General features: G+C 38.4%; 1 protein-coding gene and 1 long non-coding RNA gene across 2 annotated transcripts in view, besides 1 other annotated feature; both read left to right on the forward strand.

Moving 5' to 3' along the window:
• SDK1 (sidekick cell adhesion molecule 1) overlaps nucleotides 1–12580 on the forward strand; it is a 967749-nt gene that overhangs the window by 97535 nt on the left and 857634 nt on the right. The gene's annotated exons all lie outside the window — the stretch shown is intronic.
• The window catches only part of LOC124901577 (uncharacterized), a 49944-nt gene continuing 37364 nt past the window's right edge, over nucleotides 1–12580 (forward strand). The window contains exon 1 of the long non-coding RNA XR_007060196.1: nucleotides 1–12580. This exon is cut by the window's right edge and continues 22943 nt beyond it. This is a non-coding gene — a long non-coding RNA (uncharacterized LOC124901577).
• Nucleotides 770–1519: an enhancer, noted in NCBI's record as "OCT4-NANOG hESC enhancer chr7:3439188-3439937 (GRCh37/hg19 assembly coordinates)". NCBI's record gives its function as "activates a minimal SCP1, AML or CMV promoter by ChIP-STARR-seq in naive and primed H9 embryonic stem cells {active_cell/tissue: H9 hESC(naive and primed)}" and the evidence as "EXISTENCE:reporter gene assay evidence [ECO:0000049][PMID:30033119]".

Below are 12580 nucleotides of genomic sequence, written 5' to 3' on the forward strand. Positions count from 1 at the left end.
CTCAAGCTAGTTTATACTCAGCCTCCAGCAAATAGTGAGTTACCACTTAAGTGTTCCTACAGTTATTTCCTCTAGTAGCGCTCCTCCTAGTAAGCTGTGATTTTGTGTCTCCAGTTTTCAGTGCAACTATTTGCCCTGAGACCTCAGTTCTCTGGTGTATCTAAGAATTGTCCATGTTCAAGTTTTCCACTATTTTTCATGTTGGGAGAGTGGGACTTCCGAGCTCTTTACATGTTGCAACAGAAACCAGCAGTATTATCTCTTCAGTTATTCTTTCTCTCTTCTTTTAGGACCCCAGTTATGTGTAACTTCATGCACTTGGGGATGTCCCAGAGGTGCCAGAGATTCTTTTCATTTTTTTTTCATAATTTATTCTTTTCCTCAGACCACATAATCTCAATGTATCTTTGAATTTGCTGGGTCTTTTTTCTGCTCATTTTTGTCAGCTGTGGACTCCTTACATGAATATTTCCTTTCAGTTATCATACCTTTCAATTCCAGAGTTTTAATTTTGTTCCTTTTTGTGATGTCTGTCTCTTTCTTGACATTTTTTATTTTGTGAGAGTTAAAGAATTAAAGGAAAGTATGAGCATGATGGTTTCCTTTAAAGTTTACGTCTTAAGTTCAACATCTAGGCTTCATCAGGGACAGCTTCTATTGACTCCTTTTCCTGTGTATGGTCTGTACATTCCTATATCTTTGCATGCTTCATATTTTGGTTAAACACTATAAATTTTAAATTATTTAATGTGTAAACTTTGGAAGTTCAAATTTGTTATCCCCCCAGAGTATCATCCTGTTGATAAGGCTGCTGTTACTTCGTATAGTGACTTCTCTGGACTAATCTCATAAAGTTTATTTTCTTCATTGTGTGGGGACACTGAAATCTCTGTTGGGTTTGATTAGTGGTCAGTTGATGATTGGACACAAATCCCTTTTACTAAGTCTCCCATCCTTCTGTGAGGGGCTCTGTATATGTGTTGTGTATGGCTCTTTCCTCGGCTTGTATATGGCCCGGTACATGTGTGTGGAGTTCCAGATACCCACTGTGGACATCTCATTTCACAGGTCTCCCATTTAAATTTTTGGCTGGACTCTTGGCTGCCCAACTGGTATGGCCGACTTAATAGCTGTGGTGTTAATCAATTGCAGCTGATTGTTTTTGACAAATGCCCTAGGGTAGAGGGCTTCTCCTGCTTGGTGAGCTCTGCATGACATCAAGTAATGATAATGCCTTGTGAATGGGGCTTCCCTGAGAGCTGTGAAGCAGGTCAGACAGTGACAGTGCTCCAGAGAGGGCGCTTTTGGGGAAGTCTGAACTGGGTCTGCTCCCTCTGGTGGCTACAGGACTACACATTTTCACATTGTTAGGGAGGCTGCTGGTTCTTAGCCTACTGTGAATGGAGCTTAGGAGAGAGGGATGGAGTAGACCAAGTTAAAATGCCATGAACCAAGCCTTTCTAGCCAAGATTCAGCAGCTTTCCTAAGATAATGCTTTAGATTGTTGTACAGCTTTGGTTAATTTTCAGAATTTTCAAAAAAGTTGATTTTGAAAATTGTGGCAGCATTTTCATTGTTTTTATGCATGGGAGCGTTTCCACAGATCTTCACTCCACCATTCTGAGAGTGCCCCCAACTTCGAATGGATGAATTTTTATAACAAGTGAAAAAGTAAGTCCCTGAAGGTTACATACAGCCTTTACCCATTTTATCAACTTAGAAACAATGAAAAGAACGTATGTACTTATAAATACATAAAAATATACACAGTATTTGTATTACACAAAAATAGATAAACATAAAACTATAAAAAGTAAAGTACAGGATTCTGGATAGTGGTTACCTCAGATGGTGGCAGACCAAAGGATGGGAGTGGGGGTTACCTAGAAATATATGTGTCATAATTAAGGTCCAGTTTTATTTTGTAGTTGGTGGGTTCATGGATTCTTATGGCGTAATTAAAAATATATACACAGGCAAAAACATTTTATGGTTGTGTTTGCCTTCATGTTAACACATGAGATGAGGAATCTATTATGCAACAGAGCTTTATAAAGGAGCTTCAACCTCAGTTTTCAAAGCCATTCTTACGGCCAGAGGAATTGCTTATGGAGCTTATCTCTACCCAGTCTCGTGTAGGTCTGCCTCAGCTGGCCGAACTCCAGTGTCAGGACAGGACAGTGATGATGAGAAGGGAAGGGACAGCAGCCAGTGCCAGTTCGAGATGAGTAGTCATCTAATACTGCCTCTGCGTGGGTCCCTGCTGCCATCCGCAGCCTCATAGCCCTCAGCTCCGTAATGTGTCCTGATGGATTTAGAAGATACATAGGGAGCTGTCATTGTGAGTCTGAAAAATATACAGATCACGCTTCACTTACTAAAATCCATACTTGATGATGTCAGCCACTTACACGAGCATTCAAGAGGTCTTCTAGAATAATCACATGACAAGATTTGGGGGAATACACAGAATTCCAATCAAGATGAGTTGAGCATAATATCATGGAGGCAGGATCAGAATGGAAAGGTAACTGATAACTTGGAAGTTTAAACAATTACAATTTTCCTGTTTACTGTGTGACAAGAGCATTATGGGGCCTTGAAAATGGCAGTGTCACCACTGGGTAATATATTTTATTCAAAGACTTTTTGAGAGAGAGCATCTGTAGAGTCAAATGGTACTTGCCAAACTATTCCATGTATGGAACCCATAGGACTTCATAATTTTATGGTTTGCTGGGGGAAAATAACAAGACCACTCATGGCCCAGGTGAGTCTTGAAGAGGCTGTGGCCACAATATACTGAGCCAGCCGTAGTTCACTGGATGGGAAGACCCAAGTTTGACTTCCAGATTTACTTCTTACTTGCACTTTGGGCAGTTACATTACTTCTCTGAGCCTTATTTTTTTTTTTTATTATGGAGATAATGCTACTGATGTGTAATAATTTTGTATCTACTAGTATTAGAATGTATGAATTACCCCTTAATTTTTCAAATACTTAAACTGTTAACATCTGAATCTTGGCCAAAATGAGCACAAATGGCATTTGTATAAATGCCTAGTTATTAAATGTTATCACTATTTAACTATCTGGATTTGAAGACCAGTGCATGGCGTTTGCTAGGAGTTTATATCATGTTCTTACGTATGTGTGTAGCTGTCTTTACTGCATCTGTCGATTAGGAGGTAAGAACACCTGCTGAATATGTACCTTGAGCTAGCTATTGTGGGAGATATAAAAGAAGCACAAAACTGGATCCTGTCCTCATGGAACTCAATCTGGTTTCTGAGGTTTAGCTTTTATGTGACTCACAGATAGAGCAATGTCACAGAAAATAATATGCGGAAAATAAATGCAAAAAGAACTTGAGAAAGCTTCATGTGGCTCAGTATCCTGCACTCAGTAGGATATGTGGAGGATATATATAAAATCTAATTGAGATTCTTAGGAAAGGCTTTAATGAAGACTGGAGAATGAATGATATCTGTTATAAAGGATGGTGAAGCTTGGCTATTCAGAGAGTAATGGAGGAGGTACTTCAGTAGTTTTTATTGTGTCTGCCCAAGAAATTCACTCGGAAGCACAATGTTTATTTCTGAAGAGGCAAAGACCAAGTTTTAGAAAATAAAGTTCTCCTAAATACTATTATAAAGTTTGAGTATTTCTATTATGATTTTATGACTTCCCATCTGTGGTAGGTGTTTTATTGAAATTATTTGAATGTTATCAAGCTGTGACAACAATGCTTTAAAGGTCATACACAAAGCACAATTAAATTTCCCAAGTGAAATAAGAATGTGCATTGTGAAAGGCAGAGAATTTCAAGTAGTTCAGTTTTGTTGTTGCTTTTTTTCATCTGGGCCATTTTTGAGGTGTTTAAATCAAAAAGTTGTTTTTCTTCTTGATTGCAGTTTTCCCTTAGTTATTTGTGTAGCTTAAAAATGGAAACCAATGTGTTTAAGTTGCAATATTTTTGAGTCTATTAGTTAATATAAACTTTATTCTACACTCAACAGTAGATTGCATTATAGCTATGTGGAATGTAAAGATTATTTTGCACTTATATAAATGTGATAGCTTCTGATTGATACAGATTTAATTATGCAAACTTTGGCTTATTATGAATTAGATGAAACATTTCTATTCCTCTGTTTCTTTCTTTCTTTCTTTTTTTGAGACAGAGTTTCACTCTGGAGTGCAGTGGTGCTATCTCGGCTCACTGCAACCTCTGCCTCCCGGGTTCAAGTGATTCTCCTGCCTCAGCCTTCCCAGTAGCTGGGATTACAGCTGCATGCCACCACACCCAGCTAATTTTGTATTTTTAGTAGAAACAGGGTTTCTCCGTGTTGATCAGGCTGGTCTTGAACTCCTGACCTCAGGTGATCTGCCCGCCTTAGCCTCCCAAAGTGTTGGGATTACAGGTGTGAGTCACCATGCCTGACCTATACTTCTGTTTCTTATGAGCTTACTTATTAGAAGATCTCTAAGATTCCTGTAATTTAAAATTTTGTAATTTCATTTCATTTTACCCATTTACATCATTAAAGTGATGAATGGTTGCTTCTTTCAAATGGTGGGAAATGAATTTTGGAGAATTGTTAGTTATTATTGCTCATTTAAGGTTATTTGAACGTTTTGACTATTTGATGGTGTTTTTTGTTTGATTTGTGATGCTGACTCATAAATACCATGAAAAACAGGTCTTTTTGTTCTAACCGAAAGAGGGATTATTTAGCAGCTTAATGACTTTGGTAAATAAAAGTTTATTTGCACCTATGAGAAAGATGACAGGTAATATCTAGATATCTGAGTAAAGAGTAAAGAGAGCACAAATACAATAAGATATGGAGACTCAGTATCCTATCAGCTTTTTGATGTAAAATGGTACAGTAGTTACTACCTAAGAGAATAGTCTATTTCCATGCTGGTTGCTCACTTGTGTGCTCTTCTGAAAGAGTGAGGGCACTGTGCGTCTGACTGGATACTGGGGTACTCTGTTTCCAAGCTGCATTACAGGGATTTGAAATATCTTACATATATATATATATATATATATATATATATATATATATATATATAATATATATATTTATTTATATTATATATATATTTATTTATTCCATATACAGGCATACCTTGGAGATATTGCAGGTTAGGGTCCAGACCATTGCAATAAAGTGAATCACACAAATTTTGTGGTTTCCCAGTGCATATAAAAGTTGTGTTTATGCTATTTTGTAGTCTGTTAAGTGAGCAATAGCATTATGGCTAACAAGAGTACATACCTTAATTAAACATTTTCTAAAAAATGCCTGCACAGAGACGTGAAGTGAGCTGATGCTATTGGAAAAATGGCATCAATAGACTTGCTGGACATGGGCTGCCACAAACCTCCAAAATTTGTAATTTTACAAATTAAAGCCCTCAATTTGAAAAACATAATATCTGTGAAGCACAAGAAAGCTAAGTGCAGTAAGACAAGGTGTGCCTATATATGTTTCTGTGTATATTTAAATAACTTATATTAATAGCTGCAAACAGTAGATTTCTTCCGGTGTATGGCTTTGTCATTGTTATCACTGATTTGTAATAATTTACCTCTTTTTTGTATGTTTTATTATTTTCTGCCATGGTTGATAAACAAGTTAATTTACTCTCAGAACAGAGAATCTGCAGTATTATTATTAATAGTGACTGTTGACTTCTTTTGTCATCTAAACAACTTGTTAGTCTGCCCTTAGGCTTGACATTATTTTTGTTGTGAAAGAATATTCAGTAAAAAGTTTTGACATGTTTAAAATCATTAAATACTTCCAAACTGGTTTGGAAAGCTTCTCTGGGCTGAAAGCCAGTTGATTCTTATCAGTCTTTTTGCATGACTGAAGTCAATTACTTCAGAGCTTGAACAACTGCAGCCTTGGTAAATGGTCCAGTACTGTCCAGTAGTACAATATGGGAGGCTTTTAAATGCTACTGTAATTGGTAGTTTAACAGATGTGTTTTGGTTGGACAAGAATGTAAAAGCTATTTTGGAGCATTTTCAAAGGCATGAAGTTTAAAATAATGTAATGTTAATTTTGTGCTCTGTAATGTATATCGTAAGATTGAGGTCTTAATGTTTGTATTAAGTAAGTGAAAATATTCAAATGAAACTTGTGTAGAAAAGGAACTGCCTGTGTTCAGAAAGATTCTGAACAAAAACAAGTGAATTTTCAGAACTGAACTAACAGTTGCCAGAGGGTGTGGGTTCTGACGATGTCCTACCTGAGGCAGGCTTTGTGACTTTGGAAAGCCTTGGTTTTCTTATTTTTAAAGAGGATCTAGTCCAACACTGGTCTACTCAGACTTCCTCATTTGTAAAAAAAAACCAAAAAAAAAAACAAAAACAAAAACAAAAAACACTTTCCTTAATCTTGGAATGCTTTTCACAAGAACTAAGTGTGGCATATTGGTGGCTGTATGAGTACTCTGGTATTATAGGAGTTGAAGTGTGAGGTGGAGAGTAAGAGTAACTGGGGGTAAAACTTAGACCCAATGTGTCCAGAAGATTCAGAGCCTTATCACTGCACAAAGGAGCACAGATTTTAAACACTGAAGTGCCCAAGTTGCATGCAAACAGGCTGTGGGCTGACCACCGGTTTTTGTATTTATTCTGAATATAGTATGCCACAAAATTTGAATGTATATGCTTTTACAGATCTCTGTGCTCTCTCTAGCTCCCCCAAAATCTCTGCCTGTCTTTAGTTTCATGCTAGACTGTTTTATCTGTTTGTTGCCTTTGAAAGCTTTTGGGTTTACCCCATGCTGGAGTAACATGTAGATCTAGAAGGATTTTGAGCAGGAGGTAGTGTTATCAGATATGGTTATAAGGAAAGCTCACTTTAGCAATAGAGCTGACACAGTAGTAGCAGGTAGTGAATTCTGCAAGAGAATTAATGGACACTAGTCATCTTGATTGTACTTAGTTATTTACTGCTTCAGTGTAGTTCTGTTGTGCTTAATTTTCTTTTCTTTTCTTTCTTTCTTTTTTTTTTTTTTTTTTGAGAGAGTCTTGCTTTGTCGCCCAGGCTATAGTGCAGTGGCATGTTCTCAGCTCACTGCAACCTCTGCCTCCCAGGTTCAAGTGATTCTTCTGCATCAGCCTCCTGAGTAGGTGGGATTACAGGCATACCTCACTATGCCCAGCTAATTTTTGTATTTTTAGTGGAGACAGGGTTTCGCCATATTGCTCAGGCTGGTCTCAAACTCCTGACCTCAAGTGATCCACCTGCCTTGGCCTCCCAAAGTGCTGGGATTACAGGCGTGAGCCACCGCTCCTCGTCTGTTGTGCTTAATTTTCTAAACAAACTCTAGAACAAGTTAAGTGGTTAATCCACGTGATTTTTGTTCTCATTTAAAATCCTATGCATTCAAAATGTGAACTCCATTACCATCTCTCTGATCCGCCCTTGGCATAGAATTTGGATGTGTATATTACACTGGACTCTTGGCTTTAAAAACCGTCTATCTGTATCTGTGGGAAAGCTTTTCAGATAGCCCAGACAATATAAATAGCCCTAGATTTACCCTTAAGTAACAAATGTGTTTCTTTCTGTGGAGTTACTCGTTGTGTCTGAGGGATCCTCCCTGGGTTATTTTTTTCCTCTCCAATGGACTGGCTTGGCATATGATTGTCAAGAACAGGCACTCTGGTCGGACAGACCTTGTTTAAATCTTCTCTCTCTCTCCAACTGTGGGCCAGTTCGTTAATCTACTTGAGCTTTGGTTAGTTATTCTATAGATCGTTTTGTGGATTAAGTGAAACATCATACTGAAAACACTTAGTTTTATCATCCAGACCAGGGCACTAAACGAGAATAAACCAACCTCCTAGTTTTTGGATGTGTTTGACACGAGGGGATGTTTAGGGGAAAATAATATTTGACCATCAGACTTTTTGAATGCTGGAGAAAGCATGCACAATGTCCATGTAGGAACATACCCATATATACAGGAGACTTAAACATGTGCGTGTATACATCCATATACACAAAATGAATTTAGGAAGTTAATTGAATCGAGGAGTTTCTATTTTATAAGATAAATGTGAACAGTACATTTGTAATGTAAGCAGTCTACTTTTTTACTCAAACAAGCAGAAAATATCCTTTTTTAGTTTTAAACTCTTTGTAGACAAGATTGAATAAACTAGAGTGGATGAGGCACAGAGAATTGGTTGCCAATGGGATCAAGAATGCTAGAGGAAAGGGCAGAGATTATCCTTTCACCCAGAATTGCTCTGTCTCTCCCTTACTAGGTAGGAAAACAAACAAATAACAGAGACAAGGGCTACTGCTCTGCACTAATGATGCGTGGGGTGAAAGAAGTCCTTGCACACTGGCTCCTCTTTCCTGCTTCGTTCACAACCTATTCAGCACTTTCTGGAACTTTGCGTGAAAAATTTCATAGATCCCAGCAGGAATTTTGTAAAACACATAATCTTTGCTCATAGCCATTACCCAATGTTGTGTTCCTTCAGGGGCTGATTGAAAACAGAGCTTTCACAAGGTCTCTTGCATGATGCTAGCCTTCATGGCATTTGCATCCTGCCAAGTGATACTTCTGGTGACCATCCTGCCAAGTGACACTTTTGGTGACAGTGCCTTGGTTGACTGGTCTCAGCAACCTGCTTTAATCTCTGCAATTAAAAGGTATGAATGAGTGAACCAGTAAAATGAAGGAAAAAATCAACATAGTGGCGGGATACTTACATCCAGAAATATGTTATCTAAGGGTGTGATACTGGGCAGCCAGCTTTCATTTAAGAAATTAGACGTATTTTTAGGAAACCAGCTTTCTGCTAGTGACCTACATTATAAAATATTATAAACTCCCAAGCTGGATACTATAAATTGAAGATGAAGTTCTTTCATTTTGCAGTTACACAATGGAATATTATGTGTCAGGTACTGTTCTAGGCATTGGGTATACAAGGATAACTAAGAATTTGTCCTTCTCCTCAAGGAGTTCCCACTTTTGTGGCAGAGAGGGCCTTGAAAACAAATCATTTAACTGCCACTTACTGAGTGACTAGCACAGGTGAGGCATCCTACCAGGCTCTGGAGAAAGAGGGAAATATAGCCCTGCTCTCAGCAAACACAGGTGGATGAGAAGGGTATAAGCAGGGGGCTGGGAAGCAGAGAGAGAGAGAACCTAAAAAGACTTAGGCAAAGGCGAGTGTATGATAAAATGGAGAACGCCATAGTTCATTCTTTCATTTTTTTTTTTGAAGTAGAGTCTTGCTGTCACCCAGGCTGGAATGCAGTGGTGCGGTCTCGGCTTACTGCCACATCTGCCTCCCAGGTTCAAGCAATTCTTGTGCCTCAGTCTCCTGAGTAGCTGGGACTACAGATATGTGCCACCATGCCTGGCCAATTTTTTTTTTCATAATTTTAGTAGAGATGGGGTTTCACTATGTTGGCCAGGTTGATCTTGAACTCCTGACCTCAAGTGATATGCCTGCTGTGGCCTCCCAAAGTGGCTGGGATTACAGGCAGAAGCCATGGTGCTTGGCCAGTTCATCCTTTAATTTTGGCTCTAATAAATTCACTGTATGACTAAAATGTTACTTTTTCTTGATGTTATTATTAATCCTGTTTAAAATTAGAGCATTGGCTTTAATTATTTTTAAATTTAGACACTGGTTATTATTTCTAAAGGAAGTTATAAACAAAATTTCATACAGCATGCCATTTGACAAATTAATGAAGAAATATTTAATACATGTGAGTATCTCATTTGTTTTGTTATTCAAGGGGATTTTAGCTTATTGCTTTTTGCTTTCTGTATGTTGAACTGATATTCTTTTTGGGCACCTGTTTGTATAAACGTATCAATTTGACCTGTACTTGAATTAACTGTTTATTTTTTATATGTTGGACAGTACTACAAATTGCTCTATTTATGAACTGTATGTTTTTCTTCAATATGCAGTTTGGAATCCTGCTGTTGGAACCTTATTTGCTTCTGTATGCTCACCCTTATTCACTAATGTTTGATAATAATGCATTATAAAATAGCAGTGCTACTTCTTTATCAAAGGCTTGCAGTATTTATTTAGCATTTGCAGTTTCGAAATAATTAAACAATGCTGATGTACAGTTCTTATTGCATTTCAAAAACCTAACCAGTTAATTAGCTTAAGTGGTTCTCTCAGCCCTATTGACAGTTGGAGACACATAGTGCTGGCTTGTCAGGCTGCTAAAATGAAACATAAGAATGGCATAACTGTGGTTAGCTTCTTTTCCCCCTCACCCTTGAGATATGAGTTGGCTTTCTTTTGTGTGAGATAAAAACAAAACCAGATCATATGAACTGACACTTCTGCTTCAGATTAACATGAGCCTTGTTATTCAATTTCATGTTGGTGTTTCTACACTCCTTTGCCTCACTGAGATTTCATTAATCCTCATATCCTTAATCGCCTCCCCTTTCCCTTATGATGGTCTGTTTTAAGATTCTATTATGGTTTTTTTTTTTTTTTTGGATGCCTTTGAGGCCATCTGAACAATACTCTTGGTTAACCTGAGAATGGATTACAATCTGATCACATACTTACTGCTGTGTTTGTGTCTCGCTGCCTGTACAGTCAGGTGGCTGTTCTGCCTCTTCACCCTTGGCTGACTTTCACCCATGGACTTTGAAGTGTTACTGCTTCTATTTTCATCAAATTTTATACAAATTACACCGTTTTTCCGCAAATGTACATTTAGTGAAGTTTGTTTGGCTCCAGAATCCAGTCCTTTTGCAGGACAGGAGCAGAGGAAATGGCAGTGAAGGAGAGGGAAGTCCACGTAGGAAGAAATCCCAAGACTGGAGGTGGATTGGAGACAGCAACAGAAGAGAAGAGCGTTGGGGATGGCTCTGAGTTGAAGCTAGGTGACTGTTGACCCAGAGAAAGAAGTTGAGAGGAGAACCACGCTTTGTATTTAGGTGGGCTGTGGTGGGGTGGAGGGGATTGAGGTGTGGAGTTTGATTTTTGACATTCTTGTGTTTGTGTTGGTAAGACACCTTGTGGAACTCTCCTAGCAGAGTTTAAGCGAATGAGCGTATATATTTGATGAGGTGTATATTTGAGAGTGACAGCACAGAGGTGATCATAACAGGAGCCACTATTTGTTGAGTGCATACTAGCTACAGTGATAAGTGCTTCACAGACATGCTGTCTGTGCTTCAATGTCCTCACCTGTAAAAGGGATTTAATAGTAGGATTCTTGTGAGAATGAAATGAATTGATATATATAAAGTCCATAACAATGTCTGGCACATAATAAGTAATACTTAAGTGTTATCATAATCACATTTTAATTCAGTATCCCTTTGGAAAGAGGTATTATTGCAGGTTGAACATCCCTAATCTGAAACATTTTGAGCACTGACATGACACCTCAAAGTGGAAAATTCTACACCTGACCTCATTTGATGGGTCACAGTCAAAACTTCATTTCGCGCACAACATTATTAAAAATATATAAAGTTAGCTTCAGGCTGTGTGTAAGGTGTTTATGAAACACCTTATGAATTGAATTTCATATTAGACCTGTGTCCCATCTTCAAGATACCGCATTATGTATATGCAAATATTCAAAAATCTGAAAATATCAGAAATCAATCACTTCTGGTTTGAGACGTTTTGGACAAAGGATACTCAATTTGTGTACACATCTTATATGGGGGAAGCTGTGACTGGAGCAATGTAACTACTCTGCCAAAGGTTGCATAACTCATAAGTGGCAGGTGAAATGATATCTTTTTTTTTTTTTTTTTTTTTTTTTGGAGAAGGAGTCTTGCTCTGTCGCCTAGGCTGGAGTGCAGTGGCACGATCTCAGCTTACTGCAACCTCCGCCTCCCAGGTTCAAGCAGTTCTCTTGCCTCAGCCTTCTAAGTAGCTGGGGTTACAGGCACACACTACCATGCCCAACTAATTTTTGTATTTTCAGTAGAGACAGGCTTTCACCATTTTGGCCATGCTGGTCTCGAACTCCTGACCTCAGGTGATCCGCCTGCCTCGGCCTCCCACGGTGCTGGGATTACATGTTTGAGCTACCACGCCCAGCCCAAACCATATTCTTAACTCTGCTTGTCTCTCACCTGCCTTTGTGGAAATAAACACCTCAACAGAGGCTTCATGGTGTAGAGGAAAGACAGGACAAAATACCTAACACACAAGGAAGCTGTTTTGCTTATTAAATGAACAATATGCTTTTAAATCGTGTAAGAAGAGCTTTGTAATGAAAATCATCATTATAAGAAAGAAAAACTTACAGAAAGGTAGGAGTGAGGCTTGGTATTTGAGCTCCTGCGGAAGACCAAGAGGGAGAAGGGAAGATCAGTGTAGGGCAAAGCAAATCCAAGAGAGCCGGGAAGATAAGAGGAAGAATCATGTAGTTTCTGCATTTACGGACAAAAGCGCTTCCAAAAGTACATAAGGGTTGATGCTATCAAGTGCTGCATGGAGGTCATTGAGAGTGAGAACTAAGAAAAGGCAGTTGGAGTCACATTTTGGTGTTAACCAGATTAAATTTCCTTTTGGAGCAA

Source organism: Homo sapiens, chromosome 7, assembly GCF_000001405.40.
Source record: "Homo sapiens chromosome 7, GRCh38.p14 Primary Assembly".
NCBI classification, from domain to species: domain Eukaryota; kingdom Metazoa; phylum Chordata; class Mammalia; order Primates; family Hominidae; genus Homo; species Homo sapiens.